Source organism: Homo sapiens, chromosome 17 (assembly GCF_000001405.40).
Source record: "Homo sapiens chromosome 17, GRCh38.p14 Primary Assembly".
Lineage (NCBI taxonomy): Eukaryota > Metazoa > Chordata > Mammalia > Primates > Hominidae > Homo > Homo sapiens.
Genome location: NC_000017.11, coordinates 49,668,225 through 49,694,317, shown reverse-complemented (window position 1 = coordinate 49,694,317; position 26,093 = coordinate 49,668,225). Strand labels below are relative to the sequence as shown.

Below are 26,093 nucleotides of genomic sequence, written 5' to 3'. Positions count from 1 at the left end.
TTTTTCTTTTCTTTTCTTTTTTTTTTTTTAGACAGAGTTTTGCTCTGTCACCCAGGCTGGAGTGCAGTGGCACTATCTCGGCTCACTGCAACTTCCACCTCCCGGATTCAAGCGATTCTTCTGCCTCAGTCTCCAAAGTAGCTGGGATTATAGGCACCCGCCACCACGCCCAGCTAATTTTTTAAAAAATATTTTTAGTAGAGACAGGGTTTCACCATGTTGACCAGGCTGGTCTCAAATTCCTGACTTCAGGTGATCCACCCACCTCAGACTCCCAAAGTGCTGAGATTACAGGCGTGAGCCACCACACCCGGCCCACCAATTTTTTTTTTAAGAGAAGGTGGAAATCCCAATTTTTACATAAACCCACCCGAATTTTTGAATTCCTTGTCAGTTTATTTTATTTAATTTATTTATTTCTTGAGAGGGAGTATTGCTCTGTTGCCCAGGCTGAAGTGCAGTGGCAGGATCTCACCTCACTATAACCCCTGCCTCCTGGGTTCAAGTAATTCTCTTGCCTCAGCCTCTCGAGTAGCTGGAACTAAGGCGCCTACCACCACGCCAGGCTGATTTTTGTATTTTTGATAGAGACAGGGTTTTACCATGTTGGCCAGGCTGGTCTCGAACTTCTGACCTCAAGTGATCCACCGGCCTTGGCCTACCAAAGTGCTGGGATTACAGGTGTGAGCCACCATGCCTGACCTAAATTCTTTGTTAGTTTAAATAAAACGTGCCTGCAGGTCAGATTTGGCCTAGGGTCACTAGTTTGCCACCTACCCTATTGAAGTACTTATATCATTGCCTTGGATCTGATTAGTATTTATATGTATTTCTCCCCCAGCGCTGTATCTTTGTATCTTTAGCCCCTAACATGGCGGATGGCACATGGTAGGTGTTCTGTAACTGTCTGTGGAAGGAAGGAAAGGAGGGAGGAGGAAGGAGACAACCTGGGAACAACAATTTGTTTTTGTTTTTGTTTTTTGTTTTGAGACGGAATCTTGTTCTGTCGCCCAGGCTGGAGTGCAGTGGCGCGATCTCGGCGCTCATTGCAAGCTCCGCCTCCCGGGTTCACGCCATTCTCCTGCCTCAGCCTCCCGAGTAGCTGGGACTACAGGCGCTCACAACCACGCCCGGCTAATTTTTTTTTTTTTTTGTATTTTTTAGTAAAGATGGGGTTTCACCTGTCTCTACTAAAGAGGCGGGTGAAATCCAGGTGAGCCACCACGCCTGGCCTAGACTATGGAAACTTCTATCCCATGATTGTGTCTCTAGTGAGAGGTACTTTGAAAGTCAAAGCCACCCCCAGCCTCCATGGTACCTCGTGCTTGGCCAGTCAGAAGCTTTGAAGCCAGACTTCCCAGGAAGCCATCTCTCCCACAGACAGTGTTGACTCAGCCCAGACTCCAAGTTCTAACTCTGGTTCCTGTCCCAGAGTGGCCAACAGAGGCAGAGGCATATAAGGGACTGTGGTACGGGCTGTGTCTGTTCTCAGAAGGGGGAATGTGGGGTTGGAGAGACAGTGGGGCATGGACCTTCAATTGTTTAGGGCCTCTTTTGCTAAAGGAAAGGAGAGAGTGAATTAACAGTGTCTTGAGTCCTCTGGGCTCCAGCACTCTTTGACAAAACCTATCTTTTTTTTTTTTTTTTTTTTTTTTTTTTTTTTTTTTTTTAGATGGTGTCTTGCTCTGTTGCCAGGCTGGAGTGCAGTGGCACCATCTTGGATCACTGCAACCTCGGACTCCCTGGTTCAAGCGATTCTCCTGCCTCAGCCTCCTGAGTAGCTGGGATTACAGCCATTCGTCACCACACCCAGCTGATTTCTGTATTTTTAGTAGAGACAGGGTTTCACCACGTGGGCCAGGATGGTCTCGATCTCCTGACCTCCTGATCCATCTGCCTCGGCCTCCCAAAGTGCTGGGATTATAGGCATGAGCCACCATGCCCAGCCGACAAAACCTATCTTTAACCAGGCGTGGTGGCACATGCCTGTAGTCCTATCTACTTAGGAGGCTGAAGTGGGAGGATCACTTGAAAGGGGGGTCCAGGTGCTATGCTCTTGCCACCACACTCCAGCCTGGGTGACAGAGCGAGAGCCTTCCTCTAAAACAGCAAAACAAAACAAAACAAAAACCCTATCTTTCCTAAATCCCCAGGAACAGGAATGATGGCAAAGTCTGTGCCTGGAATTTGGGAGTGAGAACATTCCTTCCTATCTTCCCCGACTCTCATTTCTAACACCGACATCCGGATTTCTAGTCACATCTGAGGGTGTGACTGACCATCTCTCTGGGGCTTCCGTCTGACTCTCTAACGCCCTCTCTCCCCAATTTACCTGACTTGGATTAAGGGGAGGATGCATGCTCCCTCTCCGTAAACTACCAGTGATCCTTACATCCTGCAGCTTCCTGCTTTCCTCCCACTATCCTCCCTTCCTCTGGTCTTTCACTGTCTTTTTCCTCTCTTCACACTCCTCCCTTTGGCGCTCTCTCTCTCCCGCTCTTGCTGTCTGCAGTGCTGACAGTGAATCCTTTCCCTGACAAAGGCTCTCAACTTGCTCACCAGCCCTGCTGTGTTACTCTCCTCAGCCTTGTAGCTTCTGTCCAATTATCTCCCTGACCAGGCTCCTTGGGAGCCCTCCCCTCTGACCACCCTGCCTCCTTCCTTCCATCATCCAAGATGAATTTCCATTTGGAGATGGGGATGGGAAGCCAGTTTCAATAAACTGGGAGATGTTTGGCAATCCACTCTGCTCTGCCCTGCCTGGCAGAGTTAAGAAATCGTAGGGAAGGTGACACCATTGCACAGACCATTAAGAGCTGCAAGATCTAGTTTTCACAAATGTGAGATCAAAAGCTTTTCAGAGTCAGTCCTTAAAAACAAGGGCCCAGTTATGGGGAGGAACTGAGGCCCTTGCCACAGAAAACAAAGCTGTGACTCAAAGGCATCGCAGAGATGCTTCCTTGCTCGTCGGCGTTGCTGAGTGTAATGTCTTTGGCTTGGGAATTGACTTTGAGGCTTTCCAACATGGATAAAAATAGAGCTCATAAATGCCTTCACAGGCACTTTCCGATAAGGTGGCCTTTTAAGGGAAGACTGGGCTCCCAACGGAAGGTCTGAGTCAAGGAACCTCTTGGATGGGTATTCAGGGTTGTCACGGGCCTCTGACCAGCCAGCCCACCGACCAGCCTGAGGCCAAATAATGGATGCAAGAAGAGGAAGGCTCTGGAGGCTTCTGTGCCTAATGCTCCTGGAACTAAGTTCCTGAGAGGAATGTTTATTTCACTCATTCATTCATGTATTCATTCCACAAGTACTTATCTGAATACCTGTGATGTGCTAGGAATGCTGCTTGGTGCCAGAAATACAATAGAGAAAAAGAGGCCGGGCGTGGTGGCTCACACCTGTAATCCCAGCACTATGGGAGGCCAAGGCGGGTGGATCACCTGAGGTCAGGAGTTCAAGACCAGCCTCGCCAACATGGTGAAACCCTGTCTCCACTAAAAATACAACAATTAGCCAGGCGTGGTGGTGGGCGCCTGTAATCCTGGCTTCTCGGGAGGCTGAGGCAGGAGAACCGCTCGAACCCAGGAGGCGGAGGTTGCAGTGAGCCGAGTTCGTGCCACTGCACTCCAGCCTGGGCAACAGAGAGAGACTCCATCTCAAAAAAAATAAATAAATAAATAATAAAATAAAAAGAATAAGTCCCCAAAGAGCTTACAATTTAGTAATGAGCAGAGGGAAGGACTCAGGCACCCACAATCCAGGGTGACATGCAGTGGAAGAAGAATTTTAGGAAAACCTGGCTCAGGGCTGTGAGACACTTGCACAGCTTCCTGGAGGAACAGATGGATAAGCCGAAGCCTGAAGAATCAGCAGGAAATTAACAGGGGGAAGGGGGTGGGGGCAGGGAAAGACACAAAGAAGACTGTTCTGGGAAGAGGGAACAGCATGTGCAAAAACAGAGAACTTGGTTCACTCAGGGAATTGAAAGTAGATCTGTGTACGACTGGAAATATATTGCTAAGTGGGGTGGGGAGGGTAAGAGGGCACCTAGAGTTAAAAGCACAGGTCACTTTTAGAGAGCCTTTCACCCCTGTTAAGGAGTTTGGATTTTATTTTCCTGATGGCAGTGGGAGCCAATGAAGGGTTATATGCAAAGTGACTTTATCAGATTGGCATTTTATTTTATTTATTTTTATTTATTTGTTTATTTTGAGACGGAGTTTTGCTCCTGTTGCCCTGGCTGGAGGGCAGTGGCTCGGTCTTGGCTTACTGCAACCTCCGCCTCCCCAGTTCAAGTGGTTTTCCTGCCTCAGCCTCCTCAGTAGCTGGGAATACAGACATGCGCCACCATGCCCAGCTAATTTTTGTATTTTTAATAGAGACGGGATTTCTCCATGTTAGTCAGGCTGGTCTCGAACTCCCGACCTCAGGTGATCTACCCGCTTCAGCCTCCCAAAGTATTGGGGTTACAGGCATGAGCCACCGCGCCCGGCCTATTTATTTATTTTGAGACAGAGTCTCGCTCCGTCACCCAGGCTGGAGTGCAGTGATGCAATCTTGGCTCACTGCAATCTCGGCTCACTGCAATCTCCACCTCCCGGGTTCAAGTGATTCTTGTGCCTCAGCCTCCCGAGTACCTGGGATTACAGGCCGCGCCACCACGCCCAGCTAATTTTTGTATTTTTAGTGGAGACAGGGTTTCACCATGTTGGCCAGGCTGGTCTCGAACTCCTGACCTCAGGTGATCTGCTGCCTCGGCCTCCCAAAGTGCTGGGATTACAGGCTTGAACCACCGCGCCCAGCCAGATTGTTATTTTAGAGAGCTCACTCTGGCTGCAGGGTGGAGAATGAACTGGAGGGGGGATAATCAGAGGCTGGGAGGCTGCTGAGGAGGCCGTTGTGATCCAGGAAAGAATTGGGGAAATGTCAGTGGAGATGGAAGGAAGTAGGCAGAATTGAGAGATTAACTAAACTATGAAATGTCAGAATTTGGTTATTAATTGGATGAGGGCTGGAGGAATCAAGGCTACTCCCCAGTTTTCAGGCATGAGCAGCTTGGTGAGATACTAGAGGAAAGCCAGGTGTTAGATCTGCTGGATATTAGGTGCCCATGGGACATCTGACCGAAGCTATCAGGTTGGTAGTTGGGTAGGTAAGTCTGGGGCTCAAGAGGAAAGCCTGGCTCAAGACGGACTGGGAATATTCTCTGGCAGATGGATGGCAGGGGAGCTGTGAGAGTGAATGAGAGATCTCAAGGAAAGTGAAGACAGTGTGAAGAGGAGAGGAAGTGAATGGAATCCGAGGAAAGCAGATTTTCAAAGGATTGCTAAAAAAAGAGCTTGTAAAGGACACAGAGAAGGAGCAGCCGGAGAAGGCAGAGGAAAACCAAGAGTAGTGGTCTTGCATTGTTGTCCCCTGCATTCATTTCCCTCTTTCCCCACCCAGAGCACCCTGACTGTGCTTTGGGGAAGTTCATTCCTCCCCTACTCTCAGGTCCTGTGGTTTGGATTCCAGGGGAGAAAGGCTGGCTCTGCCTTGCCCTCCTGACCCACCTCACACGGCCCTCTTGCTCGCTCTCTATCCTCCAACCACATGAATTAATTAGTTAATTAATTATTATTATTATTTGAGACAGGCTCTCACTCTGAGGCCCAGGCTGGAGTGCAGTGGTGTAATCACAGTTCACTGCAGCCTCAATCTCCCGGGCTCAAGCAATCCTCCCACCTCAGCCTCCCAAGTAGCTAGGACTACAGGCACGTGCCAACACACCCTGGTAATTTTTAATTTTTTTTGTAGAGTGGAGTCTCACTATGTTGCCCAGGCTGATCTTGAACTTCTGGTCTCAAGAAACCCTCCCGCTCCAGCCTCCAGAAGCTCTTGGATTACAGGCTTGAGCCACTGCACCTGGCCCAACCACACTAATCTTCGTGGAGTTTCTAAAAAACTTCAAGCCCTCCCTGGCCTTAGATTCTCTGCCTGCCTGGACGGTTTTTCCCCAATTCCCCTTCACCCACATTACCTATCAGCCTTCCATTTATGCCTCCAACTTTTGCTTGCGTCTTCTGTGACATTCCAGGCAAGGCTAAGGCTTCCTGTTATATGTTTATTCAGTAAGTAAGTAAGTACAGAGCACTTCCTGTCCACATGTCAGCATGTGCTGCATGCCATTTCCTTTCCTTTCTTTTTTGTTATTGCTTCTTCTTTGCCTGGAGTGCCACCCTATAGATACCGTGTATCCCAGCCATTCCCCAGGTTAAGACCTCAGAACTTCTATGTCTGTAAACATATTGATCAAGTCCTCAGATAAGTACTCCATTCCATGCCTTTTTTTTTTTTTTTTTTGAGACAGAGTTTCGTTCTTGTTGCCCAGGCTCTGGAGTGCGATGGCGCAATCTCAGCTCACTGCAACCTCTGCCTCCCGGGTTCAAGCGATTCTCCAGCCTCAGCCTCCCAAGTAAAGCTGGGACTACAGGAATGCACCACCATGCCCGGCTAATTTTTTGTATTAAGTAGAGAGGGGTTTCACCATGTTGGTCAGGCTGGTCTCTTACTCCTGACCTCAGGTGATCCACCCGCCTCGGCCTCCCAAAATGCTAGGATTACAGGCGTGAGCCACTGCATCTGGCCGCAAGACTTTTTTTTTTTTTTTTTTTTTTTTTTTGGAGACAGAGTCTGGCTCTGTTGCCCCAGTGGCAGGATCTCAGCTCACTGCAGCCTCAACTTCCCAGTCTCAAATGATCCTTCCACCTCAGCCTCCCAAGTAACTGGGACTACAGGTGCCCACCCACGCCCAGCTAATTTTTGTCTTTTTCTGTAGAGACAGGATTTTGCTATGTTGCCCAGGCTGGTCTCAAACTATGCTGGATGCTGGGACATAACGGAGAGCCAGCCAGCCAGGTCACTGTCCCCATGGAGCTGACAATCCAGTAGGGGAGACAGATAATGAAAGAGTAAATTCACAAAAACAGTTACAAATTGTTGGCGGTATTGTAAAGGAAGTAAACAAAGTACCATGATAGAAAATAACAGAAAGTTCTTATTTTGGATATGGTGGGAGGTCAGAGAAGGATATAACAATTAAGCTGAAACCTGAAGAAGAGACAGAACCAGGCAAAAAGTATTCTAGTCAGAGACAATAGTAGCCACAAAGGCCTGGGGAGGGAAAGAGCTTGATGGGTTTCTAGGAATCTGTAGATGGCCAGGGTTGCTGGAGCAAGGACAGGAAAAGATGCAACATGAGATGTGATTGAAGATGAGGCTCTGTTACTTGGTGATACAAAGTTTGGATTTTATTCTTGGTACAACAAAAAGCCATTCAAAGGTTTTAAGCCAGATTGCAATGTGGTCTGACTTAAATTTTAATTAGATTGCCCTGATTGCTGAGTGAAGCATGGATTGAGAGACAAGCAGAGAATTAGGAAGACTATTCAGGACCCTCTTTCTATGGTCCAGGCAAAAGAGGATGGTGGCTAGAACTTCGGTGGGACAGAAGAGAAGTAGACAAGTGGATGGATTCAGGAGACACTTTGAAACTAGAACTTAACAGGAATTCCTGATGGATTAGGTGTGAGACTTCGGGACTAGAGGAGCCAAGGCCAAGGATACTGGCTAATTTCTTTCTTTCTTTTTTTTTTTGAGACGGAGTCTCACTCTGTCGCCCAGGCTGGAGTGCAGTGGCGCGATCTCGGCTCGCTGCAAGCTCCACCTCCCAGGTTCACGCCATTCTCCTGCCTCAGCCTGCCAAGTAGCTGGGACTACAGGCGCCCGCCACCACGCCCAGCTAATTTTTAATTTTTTGTATTTTTAGTAGAGACGAGGTTTCACTGTGTTAGCCAGGATGGTCTCGATCTCCTGACCTTGGGATCTGCCTGCCTTGGCCTCCCAAAGTGCTGGAATTACAGGCGTGAGCCGCTATGCCGGGCCTCTTTTTTTCTTTTTCTTTCTTTTTTTTTTTTTTTTTTTTTGAGATGGAGCCTTACTCTGTTGCCCAGACTGGAGTGCAGTGGCGCAATCTTGGCTCACTTCAACCTTCACCTCCCTGGTTCAAATGATTCTCCTGCCTCATCCTCCCTAGTAGCTGCGATTACAGGCATGCGCCACCACGCCCCCCTAATTTTTTTGTACCTTTTTAAATAGAGATGGGGTTACGCCATCTTGGCCAGGCTGGTCTCGAACTCCTGGCCTCAAGTGACCAGACTGCCTCAGCCTTCCAAAATGCTAGCATTACAGGTGTGAGACACTGTACCTGGTCAATGATGGCTACTTTCTGAACTGAATGGGTGAAAAAGACAACCAGGTTTGCTTGGCTTGGCCTGTCCTGGCCCCATCAGGTCCCTCCCTCCCAAACTTCCTTGGAGCCCCTGAGGCAAGTCTTCAGAAGCCCGGAGCTTGGGAAGCAAGCACAGTTTGAAAACCACTGGGTTGGAGAAGCTTTAAGGTCCCTTTAAGTTATAAAATTCTTTTATTCTAACTTGAAAAGTCTGTGAATAGGGACAATATTTCTATTTCTTTTGACTCACCCTGTAGTACCCTGGTAGAGCTCTGTACCTGGGGAGCATTCAGTTGACTTTTCACTTTGGCACAGATCTTCCATAATTGAATTTTAGATTAAATTCTTTTTTTAAAAATAAGATTCTAATGTAGAGTAAACTTTCAATTGAAATCAATTCACCTTGATAAAGTAGAGCCATGGCAAGGATAATCTAAAACAGTAAAATCCAAAGTAATTCTTATTTGAGTTGATGTAGAAAAAAATTTGTTTTTGCTAAACTAATTATCTACATTTAGGTAAATGTTATTTTCGGGCAAATGCCAACAGATGGTAGATCAATCCCATTCAGAATAGGATTGGGAAATCCTAAAAAACCCACCGGAAATAATTCATGACAGTGAATAAAATCTACTTTTGATAATATATTCTTTGTTGAAAACAAATATTAACCTTCTAAAACTTATTTTGAAGTAATGACTTCAGATAACTTTTAGACCCGTTTTAAAGATGAATGAGATGGAGATGGAGTTGTGTTGCTAGTCCAAGACAAAAATAAAAGAAAAATAGGCTCAAACCTGCCATTTCCTTTTCTTTCTTTTTTCTTATTGTTTCTTCTTTGCCTGGAGTGCCACCCTATAGATATCATGTATTCCTGCCATTTCCCAGGTTAAAACCTCAGAACTTCTATGTCTGTAAACATATATTGATCAAGTCCTCAGATAAGTACACCATTCCAAGCTGTTTTTTGTTTGTTTGTTTGTTTTTTGGGTTTTTTTTTTTTGAGACAGTGTCTGGCTCTGTCGCCACAGTAGCACAATCTCAACTCACTACAGCCTCGACTTCCCAGTCTCAAGTGATCCTCCCACCTCAGTCTCCTGAGTAGCTGGGATTACAGGTACCCACCATGCCCGGCTAATTTTTGTATTTTTCTGTAGAAACAGCGTTTTGCTATGTTTCTCAGGCTGGTCTCAAACTGCTGGGCTCAAGTGAACCTCCTGCCTTGGCCTCCCAAGGTGCTGGAATTACAGGCATGAGACACTGTGCCCAGCTGTTTTGTCATTTTATTTTACTTTATTTTATGAGTTGGAGTCTCAGTCTGTCAACCAGGCTAGAGTGCAGTGTTGCAGTCACAGCTTATTGCAGCGTCCAACTCCTGGGCTCAAGCAATCCTCCTGTGCCTCAACCTTCCAAGTAGCTGGAACTACAGGCACAAACCACAGCCCAGCTCCCTTTTGTTTTATTAAAGAGGGAAGTAAAGTAAAGGAATCCTTTTGTATGTCAAGCCCTTTTGAACAAATATGTCATCCAATGCTGTTTATTACCCTATGATGGAATGCCCCATTTCACTGATGGGTTGGGGGCCTAGAGGTCCAGCATCTGATCTGCTTCCTGTTTGGGATGTGTCCTCTGCTGTGGATCGCATCAGTGAGGAGGGTCACATATCACACCATGGACACCATGGCAGGGAGACCTTTCCTTGTTACCCACCATGGTAGTTAGGGCCCAAGAGGTGGACTAGGATTGGCCAACCGGATACTTCCACCTGGAGCTGTGGGTTTGCAGCATGAGACGCAGATGAAGAGAAGATTAGACATCCTTTGCAGCAGCAGCAGCAGCAGCAGCAGCAGTGGTGATGTGTCTGCTGGTGGCACATTGTGGCAGTGCCCAGCAGCTGGGCCTCCTCTCCAGACTGTCCTGCTGAAGAAGGTGGTTGTCCTTCCTCCACCAGCCATTGGTTTCCAGCTGAATTTCCAAGTTGGACTCTTTAGCTCCTGTTAATTCTCGGAGCCAGCAATATTTCTTCAGTCAATTCCAGTTCTGATTGATGTAGCCAGAGTTGATGCAGTTCTTGCAACTGGGAACTCTGGCTGATGTTTGAGGAAACAGGTTCTGAGGTCAAAGAGCTTGTGCAGGGGCCACAGCTAGCAAGTAACGGTGTTCTGGCTGAGAAATCTGTGCTGTTTTCTTGATTCCACACTCCCCAAAGAATTCTGAAGAAGGGCACGGAGGCAAGGAGTGACACAGTGCACAGATAAGAGTGGGACTTGAAGGCTAGCAGGTATGTGAACACTTACTCCAAAACATCCACATTCAGTGACACATTCATAAATAAGTTGAGTCTACTGTATGCCAGAGACTGTGCTGTGTTCAAATACTATTTCAACCAGGCACAGTGGTTCATGCCTGTAATCCCAGCACTCTGGGAGGCCAAGGCAGGCAGATCACCTGAGGTCAGGAGTTCGAGACCAGCCTGACTGACATGGTGAAACCCCATCTCTACTAAAAAAAAAAAAGGCCGGGCACGGTGGCTCACGCCTGTAATCCCAGCACTTTGGGAGGCTGAGGCAGGCGGATCACGAGGTCAGGAGATCGAGACCATCCTGGCTAACACGGTGAAACCCCGTCTCTACTAAAAATACAAAAAATTAGCCAGGCGTGGTGGCGGGCACCTGTAGTCCCAGCTACTCCGGAGGCTGAGGCAGAAGAATGGGATGCACCCAGGAGGCGGAGCTTGCAGTGAGCTGAGATTGTGCCACTCCACTCCAGCCTGGGTACTCCGTCTCAAAAAAAAAAAAAAAAAACTAGCCAGGTATGGTAGCGGGTGCCTTTAGTCCCAGCTACTGGGCAGGCTGAGGCAGGAGAAATGCTGGAACCTGGGAGCCCGAGGTGGCAGTGAGCCGAGATTGCACCACTGCACTCCAGCCTGGGCAACAGAGCAAGACTCAAAACAACAACAAAATATTATTTCAGTTCATCCTCACATAGTATATGATAAGGTGGGCATTATTTTGCTTATTGTTCCAATGGAAAAACTGAGCCTTAGAGAGGTTTGTCCAACTTTATATTGTAGTAAGTGTTAGTGCTGGGTTTGAACTTGAGTCTCCAGACAAGGGGGCTGGAGCCCTTTCATTAAGCCACAGATGCCTCACTATGCAATTTCATGAATCAATGAAAATGTCTCCACTGCTAATATTTGTGAGCCCCATAGAGGCCCCAGTGCAACATCATAAATGTGTTATTCTTGTTTCTTTGTGCATGTTCTTACACCTGTGTCCTGGGGTATGACATTTGTCTCTTTTCCTTTAGGCGGGTACCTCTGGAACACAGGACTCTGCCCCTACTAAAGATCTTCCTTCCTGTATATTCATCTCTAATGTCCATGAAGGGCTCCACCAAAGGAGACGCTGGGCCCGGGGACCAACTGCCCAACTGAAAAGTTGATCATTGACCACTCAACGGAAGAGCTGTCCAGTGAGGAGAGAAAGACTTCAGCTTCTTACAGCACTTACAACCAAAATGGGAGTCTGTACTCATTTTCTATTCAGTCCTGCCTGCCTCCACCTCCCCTAGAGCTTCAAGGGAAACCACACCTTTGCTTGCTGGACTGTAAAATGGAGCCGAAGATCCTCGTTGGCATCTCAGAGCCTTTGGGGAAGATCCCGCACCCAGACCTGGCTCATAACAGCCAATGAACACTTTGTTGTCTGTGTTTCGGATTAAGAAAATGAGTTCTGCTTGTTGCTTACCATCACAAGGAGCAGTGAACTGAATTGGTGCCATTGTAAGCTTGATTGTTGTTGCATAGATAAAAGCCTCATTAAGTCCCTCAGGAGGAGACAAGAATTTTATTTTGAGGAAAGAAGAACAAGAAGCGCTTCTTGCTTGTTGTCATTACAGCAACAAAACATTTAATGGAGGAAAAAATTAAATAACTGCACTTTTTTTTTCTTTACCCAAACCTCGTCAAGAGGCTGGGTGAGTTTTTAATTAGTGCTGCATGTTCAATAAATCCGTATCTGTATGTGGTGCGGATTCTTTCCTGGATAAGGGAAAGATAATAATGAGAATCCTATTTTTCAGTCCCACACTAAAGGGATGCCTGGTATATTTAATCATGCTGTAGAAATCCTGGCAGCTTTCTCTGAGCCCAGCCTCTGCTCTAATTACATTTCTAGATTTTAGTAAATTGAAAGGGAAAATGTAGGAACAAAATAATTAAAACCGAAGAGGAAGTGCATATTAAAAAGGAGAAGCTGTTTAAAATTCTTCCACACAGTGCTTCCAAGGACATCTACAATCGTTTAATCAGCTCCACACCAAATCAAAGTCCTTTGTACAGAGGCTGATAGGATCACATCTCAGGTGGGAGGTATGGTCCCCACAGTATAATAGGAGCTTCATTGCACCAGGCTACAGATGGGGATAAGACCTCTCATACCCTTCCAGATCACTGGGGATTCGGGCCCAGCCTGGACAAGCTGTTGGCACAGACTCACTTTCCCCAAGGAGTCCCCTTCCAGGTCCTGGGTAGAGTCTGGCGAAGCTGTTACGATTAGCTCCAAATGTGAGGGAGCTACAGTAGGTTGTCCATGCATCCAGTTTCCTTTTCCTGCACCCTGTTCCCGATTTTCATGCTCCTTCCTGCAAAGAGTACCCCTTTTCTTTTTTCCCTGCTTTTGTGTGAACTCTGAAGTCAAGAGAATAGGTAATTGAGCAACCTCAGTGACACCAGGAACCAGTTACTTGTTACTGGTTACTGGATTATTTCTGGGGCATTCCGAATTTTCAGGACCAAAAACTTTGCTGGCTTCAGCTAAAGGAATCATGTTTGTTGATAACAATGATAAGTTAAATCTCTTTTTTTTTTTTTGAGACAGAGTCTCGCTATGTCGTCCAGGCTGGAGTGCAGTGGCTTGATCTTGGCTTACTGCAACCTCTGCCTCCCAGGTTCAAGCGATTCTCCTATCTCAGCCTCCTGAGTAGCTGGGATTACAGGTGTGTGCCACCATGTCAGGCTAATTTTTGTATTTTTAGTAGAGACGGGGATTTTACCATGTTGGCCAGCCTGGTCTCGAACTCCTGACCGCAAGTGATTCGCCCGCCTTGGCCTCCCAAAGTGCTGGGATTACAAGTGTGAGCCACCTGATAAGTGAAATCTAATTGGAAAGTTTCAAGCCTCTGCCTAATAGGTGACAAAGGCTCTTTTTGTTTTGCAGTGGGGCAGGTACAGTCACCACATCATTGTAGAATTTAGGATCTACATTTCTTGATCATTCTGGCTGAAAAATCGGTTGTGTAAACTCTAGGAGTCTGGAGTGTTTTGTCCGTGATTCCTAGGAAATTTTAAACTGTGAGATTATAGGACTTGCTTCTGTATTTGAAAGTGGAAGACAGCCTGGCACTGTCAGGGGCTTTTTTTTTTTTTCAAACCCCTGGGGTTTTGCTCATGGGCTCCCAGCCTTCCTGGCTGAACAGACTCACCAGCCACCTGGCACCAGGACGCGTGTGGCAGGAGACACTGAGCACTGTCTCCTAGAGACAGTCACATAGGCCTGGGAGACAGCAGGGCTCCTGGAAGCTGTTCCCAAAGCAGGGCCCACACTGTGTCACCTCCCAATCTACAGGTTCATTGGGTTGCTCTCGTGTCCAATGCTATGTGCGTGTGTGTGTGTGTGTGTGTATGTGTAATGATACCATTCCAGCACGAAAGAGGCGTTCAGTAAGAACATATATTAAAAACTTTTTTCTTTCTTTCTTTTTTTTTTTTTAGAGACAGGATGTCACTTTGTTGCTCAGGCTGGAGCACAGTGGCGTGATCATGGCTGACTGCAGTCTTGAACTCCTGAGCTCAAGTGATGTGATCCTCCTACCCTAGCCTCCCAAAGTACTGGGATTACAGACACAACGTCATAATAATTTTTTTTTAAGACAAGGTATTACTCTGTCGCCCACTTTGGAGTGCAGTGGCACAATCAGTTCACTGTAACCTTAAAGTCCTGGGCTCAAGGGATCCTCCTGCTTCAGCCTCCTGAGTAGCTGGGACTACAGGCAGGTACCACCACACTTGGCTAATTTTTTTGTAGAACGGAGTCTTGCTTTGTTGCCCAGGCTGGTTTCCAACTCCTGGGCTCAAGCGATCCTCCCACCTCAGCCTCCCAAAGTGTTGGGATTACAGGCATGAGCCACTGTGCCCAGCCCAAGAATAATTTTTAAAAATTTTTAAAATTTGAGCTAAAGGAAAGAATCATAACAACTAATACCCAACACTAACATTATTACTGTAACACCGAGACAACTTTTTTTCTCTAAGGGCCAAGGTGATCCGAGCCCTTTTCTTTCACTCAACTCAGGAATCACTTATGGCCCATTGGAGCTAAAATGTGAAGCTGACAGGGAACTCAGGTGTCCAAGACAACAAATTGTCACTGAATTAGCTTCCTTCCTTCCTTCCTTTATTTATTTATTTATTTATTTATTTATTTTTATTGAGATGGAGTCTCGCTCTGTCGCCCAGGCTGGAGTGCAGTGGTGTGATCTTGGCTCATTGTAAGCTCAGCCTCCCGGGTCCACGCCATTCTCCTGCCTCAGCCTCCTGAGTAGCTGGGACTACAGGCGCCCGCCACCACACCCGGCTAATTTTTTGTATTTTTAGTAGAGACAGGGTTTCACCGTGTTAGCCAGGATGGTCTCGATCTCCTGACCTCGTGACCCACCCGCCTCGGCCTCCCAAAGTGCTGAGATTACAGGCGTGAGCCACCGCGCCGGCCCCTTTTATTTTTATTTATTTTATTTTATTATTTTTTTTGAGACGTAGTCTTGCTCTGCCATCCAGGCTGGAGTGCAGTGGCGCGATCTCTGGTCATCTCCGTCTCCCAGGTTCAAGCAATTTTCCTGCCTCAGTCTCCGGAGTAGCTGGGATTACAGACGCGTGCCACCACGCCTGGCTAATTTTTTTTTTTTTTTTTTTTTTTTTTTTGAGACGGAGTCTCTGTCGCCTAGGCTGGAGTGCAGTGGCGCGATCTCGGCTCACTGCAAGCTCCGCCTCCCGGGTTCCCGCCATTCTTCTGCCTCAGCCTCCGGAGTAGCTGGGACTACAGGCGCCCGCCACTGCGCCCGGCTAATTTTTTGTATTTTTAGTAGAGACGGGGTTTCACCGTGGTCTCGATCTCCTGACCTCGTGATCCACCCGCCTTGGCCTCCCAAAGTGCTGGGATTACAGGCGTGAGTCACCGCACCCAGCCACGCCCAGCTAATTTTTATATTTTTAGTAGAGATAGGGTTTCGCCATGTTGGCCAGGCTGGTCTCGAACTCCTGACTTCAGGTGATCCGCCCACCCCAGCCTCCCAAAGTGCTGGGATTACAGGCGTCAGCCACCATGCGTGGTCAGCTTCCTTTTAGTTAGATCACCTATATCTCCTGCCTTCCCCTGAAAGGATAGTCCTTGTTTTTGTTTACAAGTGCTAAATTTTAAAAGTTACCTAAAAGGGTCTCTAGCATCATCATAAAGTCCAAAAAATATTTTACTGACAGGGCTGGCTTTTAAAAAATGAGTTAATACATATAAGAGTCGTTGGTACTCCATAAACTGCTTGCAGACCTAAATCGCTGTTGTGAAATGCCTTTAACTGTTCCGTTGCCCACTCCGACCCTTGGCTTGTTACGCCTCTATTTGGTCCTCGCACCTCGCAGCGGGCTCCCGCGCCCTGCGCGCGACCCCCTCCAAGTTCCCGCCTCTTTTTACTCAGGCCCCTCCTTCCTCTCAAATCCCCGGGCCCTGACTTGGCCCCGAGACGCATGCGCACTAGGAAAGATAGGCGGAGTCTTGAGGGAGGAGGAGCAGGGAAACCCAGGGAGGGGAGGGGAGGAGAAGGGAGTAATGGGGAGGAGGCCGCGCGGGGTGGGGTCTGGCGGTACGCGCTGGCTGCGTCGACGTGCTGACGCCATGACGCCCCGGCTGGTGTGTGTCGGTGTGTATGTGTGTGTGTGAGTGTGCGCGCTCCGAGTGTGTGTGTATTTGTGTATCGGCGGTCCCGCAGGTCCCGGATGTTGCGGACAGTATGAGGCAAGCGCAGGGGGACGGGGACCAGCAGCTGTCGCCGCCGCTCTCAGGTGAGTGGGGGGAGGAGAGTCGAGGGAGGGGGTTGTCCTGTCGGAGTGGGGGGGGGGCACCTCCCTGAAGAGGTGACTGACCCCCACTGTCCCCCCACCCCCCGCCACACACATATACTCTCCTCAGTCCCATTTCCTACACCCGGATTACGTGGCCTGCGAATGCCAGAGCCGAATCAGCCGTCCCTTCTCCCTATCTCAAGCATTCAGAAGACACAAACGCGCCCCCTGCCTTCAGCCCCCCCATCATTTCCCAGCCCCATCCCCCTTGCCAAATACTGAGCTGTCGCCTGCGGCGAGATGGGTGACTGCGCATGCGCGAGTGTGAACGCGCTCGGGCTGCTTCTTCGCTGCCCCGGGGGCGCATGCGCATCGCGGTGTTGCAGGGACCTGCGGGATAAAGAGCCGGTGGAGCACGAGTCCGCCTTCTTCCCAGGCTGTGGGCTAGACTTGCTGCCAGATAATGAGCCTGTTGCTCCTGTCCAAAGGGGAGAATTTAAATTATGTGAAAGACTTAACGGACAAAGCACTATTCTCATCTGGTGTTGCCCTAGAGACTCCCAGGCTACAAACGCCTCGCAGAGCCAGCGTGTCCCACACTGACCCTTCTTTTGAAACTGTCACTGTATCTTCTAGTTCTAGGATTACTTTTCCATTCCTATACTCCCATCGTTGTGCTTGTACCTTTTAGTACCAACTTACCCTAAATTTAGGAGTGGGTGCTCCATCCCATCACTTATTCTGGCAGGGGATTTTGGAAGCCTTGCTAAAGAAGACTAAGGGTCATAAATGGAACTAAGTGAGGCATTTCATTTTAGTAAAATTCTTAATTCGCAGAACTAGATAAGAGAGATAAAGGGCACCGGCCTTCTTACTTTGTGTGACCTATTTGCCTTTTTTTTGGTCAAAGATCTTCCTTAGCACTTTTCATTTTATCTGTACCTTATTGGTGCTCTGTAACATGAAAACAAATCGGAAAGCAATCTGAAACTGTTGGTGGACAATAACTTATTCAGTGGAGGTTTTAAGTAATGTGATGTTTCTTTCACGTTGGCAGATAACAAAAAGAAATGTAAATAACGAACTTTGAAGTACAATAGTATTTCAGTGATCTAGGACCTGGGTTTTCAGTTAGCGATTATATGTGGCCCTTTTTTTGGATACTTTGCTGCTGCTTACCTCTGCCATCAAAACAGAGTGAAGAAAAGATAAAATCTTAATAGCAAAAGATTTTCTAGATAACATTGAAATGAATAGCTAAATTGTTGTGGGGAAGGGAGTGCGAGAGGAGGGGCATTTTTTGTGTTTTTCAGTTCTCCTTGCCAATCCCGTCTCCTAGCTGGATAACTGGGAAGGGAACTATTAGTAAGCCTTACTTTCAATTCTCTTTAGTTTGTATTCTTTGATGTTCTTCTCTCAAGGCTTTTTTGGCTGCCACTGTTAACTCCAAAACCGCATGTTCTTGGGCCTTAAAGTATATGTATTTTTCACTTCCCCTTTTAACCCTGGCCCTTACAGGGTTCTGCTGTCTTTTGTGCTGTTTCCTGTTGCCATGGTTACAGTTAGAACCAAGAGATGACACACAGGGAACAGAGAAATTTGGGGTGCATATATCTTCCTGGGAAAGAGCTGGAAACTCACCTTTTTTTCCTTAGAGGTAGAAGTTATTGTAAGACTACCCCACCCTTAGGTTTGGGGTAGTTGTTATCCATTTAGTACTTTATTGATTTCTCGTTTTAGAGCTCTTCATAGTAGCTAGTTTGGTATTTGGAGATGTTTACTGTTTCCTATGTCCATACTTAGATATTACTTAGGTAGTATCTAGAAGTGAAACTATTGTAGTAAGTGTCCGTCTTCTCAGTAGGTTTCGGCCATTGGGATGCTTAGATTTTTTCTTTTTTCCTTTTTTTTTTGAGATCGAGTCTTGCTCTGTCACCCAGGCTGGAGTGCAGTGGCGCGATCTCAGCTCACTGCCACCTTTGCCTCCTGGGTTCAAGCGATTCTTCTGCCTCAGCCTCCCGAGTAGCTGGGATTACAGGTGAGTGCCACCATGCCTGGCTAATTTGTATTTTTTGTAGAGTTGAGGTTTTGCCATGTTGGCCAAGCTGGTCTCGAACTCCTGACCTCAAGTGATCCACCCCCGCCTTGGCCTCCCAAAGTGCTGGGATTACAGGTGCGAGCCACTGTGCCCGGCCTGATTTTTTCTAGAAACATTTTGTCTAGTTGAATTCACTGAAGCCTCATTTAAAATTTTGATGGCGTGCAATGCTTTTAGATTAAGACGAATATTGTTAAATAATTCGTACTGGTGCAGAGCCTTTTTTAAAAAATCATTGTTTAAAATGGGTTAACACATGTACATACATATGAAACAAAATTCAAAAGGTACACAGAGAGTGAAGTCTTTCTTTTCTTACCATCCTCTTTTTATCCATGAGTTCCCCTTCCCAAAGGCAACAGTCTTGTTTATTCATCCCGAGACAGTATATCCTTTTACAAGCATATACACCTATATATTCTTCACATTTTTTGTTTTTGTTTGTTTTACACAATAAGACACTATGCTCATTCTGCACTTTGCTTTTCTCACTTTATTTATCTTGGTGATCATTCCATGTAGTAAATACAGTCCCTCTTCCTTTTTGAAAGATGGCAGATAATTCCATTGTGTAGATGTACCATCATTCAGCCAACACTTATTGGACATTTAGGTTGTTTCCAGTGATACAATTAATTCCTTGTATGTACTTATTCTGTGTACATGGGTGTCTGTTGGTTTAAATTCCTAGTGGAAGCGCTGGATCAATGGATGTGCATTTGTAATGTTGTTAGGTATTACTAAATGCTTTCCACAGAGGTTGTATGAATTTATATTCCTGCCAGCAGTGTGAGTCTGCCTGTTTTCTCACCAACACTATTATCAAAATTTTTGATCATTTGTGCAGTCTTTTATCTAAGATTTTAAAGCTCATTATGTAGTTTGTTAAGCTTCATTTCACTGAAGAGTTGTGTATAAATACCTCACTGTTTTGCAGATTGGGGAGGGGTCATGGAGGATTTTGTTTGAAAAATAATGTCATGAGAATAAAGTCATATGTCTGGATAATAGCAAATCCATGACAATGCTAGGAAGACATAAAAAACCTATATTCCAATTTCTTCCTTTAACTCTTAGATGCTAGTTTCTCTGTTAGTATTCTGTAAACCTGTAAATGATTTATGATCTCCTTTTGATAGCTCTGACTTTAAATTGTTTATCCAAGTAAACTGCTGTTATTCTGGTGAGAAATTGAAAAGCTAATCTAGTTAGTTGAGGTCTGCTCTCTTGGTACAGAATACTGGTACTAGCATTTTTTAAGTCTGCTGATAGCAGAATACTTCACTATGAGCTTCAAATAAATAGAAAATAATTAAATATGTCTGTGCCTGAAGAGAGCTTACAGTCTTGTTGGAAAACCTAGAAGAAATGGATAACTTTCTGGACACATGTAGTCTACCAAGATTGAACCATGAAGAAATAGAAAACCTGAACAGATCAATAATAGTGAGTAACGAGATTGAAGCAATAATAAAAAGTCTCCCATCAAAGAAAAAGCCCAGGACCTGATAGCTTCATTGCTGATTTCTACCAAACATTTAAAGAAGAACTAATAGCAATTCTACTCAAACTATTCTAAAAAGTTGAAGAGAAGGGAATACTTCTTAAACTCATTCTATGAGGCCAGCCTTACCCTGATACCAAAACCAAAGATGTAATCTTTTTATTTATTTATTTATTTTTTTTTGAGACCAAGTTTCACGGCTGTTGCCCAGGCTGGAGTGCAGTGGTGCAATCTCGACTCACCGCAACCTCTGCCTCCCTGGTTCAAGCTATTCTCCTGCCTCAGCCTTCCTGAGTAGCTGGGATTACAGGCATGCAACACCACGCCCGGCTAATTTTGTATTTTTAGTAGAGACGGGATTTCTCCATGTTGGTTAGGCTGGTCTCGAATTCCTGACCTCAGATGATCTGCCTGCCTTGGCCTCCCAAAGTGCTGGGATTACAGGCCTGAGCCACCACGCCCGGCCCAAAGATGTAATCTTGTTGTAAAGCCACACCTACTGAATATAGGAAATAATAAGAGAACAATTAGAAAACAGAACTGGAACAGTAATACACTGTGTTCCATGCTGAGAGGACCTTGTGAAGACATGATTAAGGGTTAGAGGAGAGTTCATTTGGGAGGCCTTCCTGGAGGAAGTGCATTTGGAGCCTTTTTCTTTTTTCGTATAATGGTTTAAGTGAAAAATTTTAAACATACAGAAAAATGGAAAAAATAGTACAATTATCACCTTTATATCCATCACTTAGATTCAACAGTTGTTCACATTTTGCTATATTTACTTTATGTATATGCATATTTATTTTATTTTATTTTATTTTTTCTGAGACAGAGTCTTGCTCTGTCACCCAGGCTGGAGTGCAGTGGCGCGATCTTGGCTCACTGCAAGCTCCGCCTCCTGGGTTCATGCCATTCTCCTGCCTCAGCCTCCCAAGTAGCTGGGACTACAGGCGCCCGCCACCACGCCCGGCTAATTTTTTGTATTTTTTAGTAGAGATGGTGTTTCACCATGTTAGCCAGGATGGTCTTGATCTCCTGACCTCGTGATCCACCCACCTTGGCCTCCCAAAGTGCTGGGATTACAGGCGTGAGCCACCGTGCCCAGCCGTGCATATATATTTAAATATATAAATTTTTGTATTGCAAACATCATGACACTTTACCCTTAAATACTTCAGCTGTATCTCCTTAAAGCTTATAATATTGTCACAGTTAAGGCAATTAACAGTAATTCTCTAATACCATCTAATATCCAGTTCGTGTTCAGATTTTCCCAATTGTCTTGAAGATGACACTTCTTTTTTTCCTCCAAATATATCTCTTTAGTCTCTTTAAATCTAGAACAATTTAGAAGCCACATGATACTGTTTTTTGTTTTTTTTTCGAGATGGAGTTTCACTCTGTCGCCTAGGCTGGAGTGCAGTGGCATGATCTTGGCTCACTGCAACCTTTGCGTCCAGGGTTCAAGCCATTCTCCTGCCTTAGTCTTCTGAGGAGCTGGGATTATAGGTGCCCACCACCACACCTGGCTAATTTTTGCATTTTTAGTAGAGACGGGGTTTCACCATGTTGGCTAGGCCAGTCTCGAACTCCTGAACTCAAGTGATTGGCCTGCGTCGGCCTCCCAAAGTGCTGGGATTACAAGCGTGAGCCACCATACCTGGCCTCATGATACTGGTTTTTAAAGAGCCCGAGCTGTTTGTCTTGTAGAATATATCACTTATGGGATTTTCTGGTTATTTCTTCATAGTTTCATAAACAGATATTGAGCTCTAAAGGTCTGATTAGATTATCATTAAACATTTTTGATGAGACTACTTTGTACGTGTTTCTTTGCTCCTCGCTGCATCATAGTAGGAGAAACACAATGTCATAATGTCCCACTATTAATGATGCTGAGTTTGTTTGATCATTTAAGGTGGTAAATACCAGACTCATTTGTTGTAAAGACAATTTTCCCCCTTTGTAATTAGTAAGTTATCTGTGGAGTGGTGCTACTTTGGCATTGTACTGTTACACTTCTCCAGCAACATTTCACCTCATGATAATGATCTTTGCCTAAATCAGTTAATTCATTGGTTTTTGGAAATAGTGATTTTTCTGATTCTGTCATTTCTTTTACACTGATTTGCTTTCAATCTTCTGTAAGGATTTTCCTCATCGGTTAGGAATAAATTATAATTTTTTTTTTGAGATGGAGTCTTGCTCTGTCTCCCAGGCTGGAGTGCAGTGGAGCGATCTTGGCTCACTGCAACCTCTGCCTCCTGGATTCAAGTGATTCTTGTGCCTCAACCTTCCAATTAGCTGGGATTACAGGTGCCCACCACAACGCTCGGCTAATTTTTTGTATTTTTAGTAGAGATGGGGTTTCACCGTGTTAGCCAGGATGGTCTCGATCTCCTGACCTTGTGATCCACCTGCCTCGGCCTCCCAAAGTGCTGCGATTACAGGCGTGAGCCACCCTGCCCAGCCAATTTTTGTGTTTTGAATAGAAATGGGGTTTCACCATATTGGCCAGGCTGGCCTCAAACTCCTGACCTCAAGTGATCCTCCCGCCTCTGCTTCCCAAAGTCCTGGGATTACAGGCATGAGCCACTGTGCCTGGCCTAAATTATAATTTCTACTAAAAAATTGAGGTAAATTCTTAATTTTTTTTCTTTAACACTTTTCTGAGTAAGGAAATGGTACAATATCATCTCTAATGGTGGTAAATGAGTTTTTTTCACTCTCATTGTTTTAGTGTCATGGATTTTAGTTTATTCTGTTTTACCAACATTACCTTCTTTTTGATGCTCACACTGTCCTGTATTTGGCCTGTGGGAGCCCTTTAAGCTTGAGCTATGAGTGCTTCCTTGCTTTCTGTCACAAGAAGTTCCTAGCTCACTTTGTATTTTTCCCGTCCTAGATGCAGAACCCTTACCCTTAACCTTTATGTATATGACATTTTCTTCCCTTTCAGTAAATTATGAGGTTGGTGCAAAAGTAATTGCGGTTTTGTCATTTAATGGTAAAAACCTCAATTACTTTTGCACCAACCTCTAACAGGTTATTTGTCTACCATATGGAGCTTCTGGAACCAAATTCTAAAAACTAAAGGTGCTTTAATTTTAACTTGATGTACCTAGTGTTTGACTCGCTTCTGTGTCACTGGCATTGCTGGATTCTGGATGTTAGAACTCACAGCTTCCTTGTCTTGAATATTCTTCGTGAAAGGCAGTATCTCTGAAGAGAGCATTGACCACCCCGTTGTCCCCACCTCTCATGAGCAAACTTGTTTTTTTCTAAGATGAAAGGCACACAGAATAAAATTTAGAAGTTGAAATTGTGTGTTTCTAAGCTTTGGGATGTGGCGGTTTTATTATTATATAAAAACATCTGTGCGTCTATGCACAAGTATGTCTTCCCTTTTCCTCATCTCTACACAGTGTTATGTAAGATTATGCTGTAATCGCATATTTTTTTTATTACTAGATTTTCATCATAAAGAAGTGAGGCAAATTGTTCTTAATTAGGGAAAAATTTCAGATAGGCCGTAAACTCTGATATCTAGCTGTCTTAACTCAGGGTCTGGAACAGTGCTGAATCCTGTGGCTTTCTGTCATGTACTGTAGACTCAGGAGAAAAGTCAGGGCAGCCACAATGTTTTCTGAAAATTCATCACACTAATAAAGGTTAATACAAATGAAAGATACAGCAGAACTGCATTCTAAAGTGGGTTTCGGAGTGGACTAATTCCTATCTTAGCAAAAAATGTTTTGTTAGACTCCTACAATGTAGTGGTATTTGAGTAATCTTACTGATTTCAGGTTACTCAAAGCCAGATAATAACAGTATTCTGATATTTATCTGAAATTCATATTTCAGTTTCTTTTTACCATTTTGTCATATTTACAAGGTTATTCTCAACCTGGTTTCATAACAATACTGGTCCCAAATTAAATCCTGGTTGTATATTCAGGGAAGCACACCTGTTTCTTGTGTTTGTTTTCAGGCATAGTGAATCTCTCCGAAAGGCTATTCTGACACATTTGCCAATAAGACCTAGTAGCTGCTTTTATTTTTGTTTTTGAAAAGCTCCCATTACAGGAAAAAGAAATTCTAAAGTACACATTCTTGAGGAAATGCTTGGGCTGTCATTCTTCCAATTATGATCATGTTTTAATAGAACTGGCAAGGAGTTGCCTAGGTACTCTATGACAGAGCTGGTCATGCAGCTTTGGGAGAGCTGGATATAGACCTTAGGGAATTAACCATTCAGACAGCAACACCTTCTTGACCATGGAGACCTTTATTCTTGACTTTTGATTTTCTAAAAAGCTGTTAGTGTAAATCTCCTTGCCATGTCAGTAGTTCTTTGAAAGCCTCTAATCTCCCCATCTATATATCTATTTATTTGTAAGAGGAAAAATGTATGTGTGATCATTCATCTCCTCAAATTGAGATTTATATATTCCTTTACTTGATATTTGGAAACAGATAACCATGTAGAAATTTTCTGTAAATAAAAATGACAGTTTTTCAGTGAACATCTTTTATGCTGTCTTAATTTTTTTTTTTTTTTTTTTTTGAGGCAGAGTCTTGCTCTGTCATCAGGCTGGAGTACAGTGGTGCGATCTCGGCTCACTGCAACCTCCGCCTCCCGGGTCCAAGCCATTCTCTTACCTAAGCCTCCCGAGTAGCTGGGACTACAGGCGCACATCACCACGCCCAGCTAATTTTTGTATTTTTAGTAGAGACGGGATTTCACCATGTTGGCCAGGATGGTCTCGATCTCCTGACCTTGTGATCCGCCCACCTCAGCCTCCCAAAGTCCTGGGATTACAGGCATGAGCCACCATGCCTGGTCTTAATTTTTTTTTTTTTTTAATATTCCGTACTACAACTTGCTTTTTTTTTTTTTTAATTTATTTTTTATTGATCATTCTTGGGTGTTTCTTTAATTTTTTAATTATAAAAATATCTTAGGCTGGGCGTGGTGGCTCACGCCTGTAATCCCAGGACTTTGGGAGGCTGAGACGGGTGGATCACCTGAGGTCGGGAGTTCAAGACCAGCCTGGCCAACATAGTGAAACCCTGTCTCTACTAAAAATGCAAAAATTATCCGGGCATGATGGCGGGCGCCTGTATTCCCAGCTACTTGAGAGGCTGAGGCAGGAGAATCACTTGAACCTGGGAGGCGGAGGTTGCAGTGAGCTGAGATCGCACCACTGCACTCCCGCCTGGGCGACAGAGCAAGACTCATCTCAAAAAAAAAAGGCCGGGCGCGGTGGCTCGCGCCTGTAATCCCAGCACTTTGGGAGGCCGAGATGGGCGGATCACGAGGTCAGGAGATCGATACCACCCTGGCTAACGCGGTGAAACCCCGTCTCTACTAAAAATACAAAAAATTAGCTGGGCATGGTGGCGGGCGCCTGTAGTCCCAGCTACTCGGGAGGCTGAGGCAGGAGAATGGCGGGAACCTGGGAGGTGGAGCTTGCAGTGAGCCGAGATCGTGCCATTGCACTCCAGTCTGGGTGACAAGAGTGAGAGACTCCGTCTCAAAAAAAAAAAAAAAAGATATGTATATATATGAGTGTATATATGTCTATATATATGTCAATATATATGTGTGTATATATGTATATCTTAAACATATAGAAAAATATAAAGAATAATACCATGCATATACTTATCACCCAGCTTTATAAAATCTTAACATTTTATTATATTTGCCCCCAGATACTTTTTCTAGTGAATAAAACATTACTGAAATAGCAAAGCCTTAGTGTACTCCTATTTTCTTCTTCCCTCCCTCCTTAGAGGTAACACCTATCTTGCATTTGGTGTTTATTATGTTCTAACTGTGCTATAATCCAATATGTACTATATACTCCAGTCAATACCATTCTTTACCTTAATATTTTTGCTTAGTATGTTTTTTTGAGATATATTTATGTTGATACATGTAACTTGAGTTCATTTTAACTGCTGTTTAGTATTTGGTTGTATGAATATGCTGTACCACGGTTTATCCATTTTCTGTTTAATACACATAAGGTATTTTGAGTTTTTTATTATTACACATAATAAACAATCTTTTTATTGTGGTAAAAAACTTAATATTAAA

The 26,093-nt window shown here is 45.0% G+C and overlaps 1 protein-coding gene across 6 annotated transcripts in view, besides 2 other annotated features; it reads left to right on the top strand.

Moving 5' to 3' along the window:
- The window catches only part of SPOP (speckle type BTB/POZ protein), a 79,280-nt gene continuing 69,341 nt past the window's right edge, over nucleotides 16,155-26,093 (top strand). For 3 of the 6 annotated variants that reach the window (NM_001007229.1, NM_001007227.1, NM_001007230.1), the window contains exon 1: nucleotides 16,155-16,385. The gene's annotated coding sequence lies outside the window, so the exon portion shown is untranslated. Of the gene's footprint in view, nucleotides 16,386-18,301; nucleotides 18,424-26,093 lie in introns of all 6 variants that reach the window. The other 3 variants (NM_003563.3, NM_001007226.1, NM_001007228.2) reach the window with 2 other exon arrangements.
- Nucleotides 16,346-16,395: an enhancer, noted in NCBI's record as "active region_12368". NCBI's record gives its function as "activates an Ori minimal core promoter by ATAC-STARR-seq in GM12878 lymphoblastoid cells {active_cell/tissue: GM12878}" and the evidence as "EXISTENCE:reporter gene assay evidence [ECO:0000049][PMID:35858748]".
- Nucleotides 17,724-17,773: an enhancer, noted in NCBI's record as "active region_12367". NCBI's record gives its function as "activates an Ori minimal core promoter by ATAC-STARR-seq in GM12878 lymphoblastoid cells {active_cell/tissue: GM12878}" and the evidence as "EXISTENCE:reporter gene assay evidence [ECO:0000049][PMID:35858748]".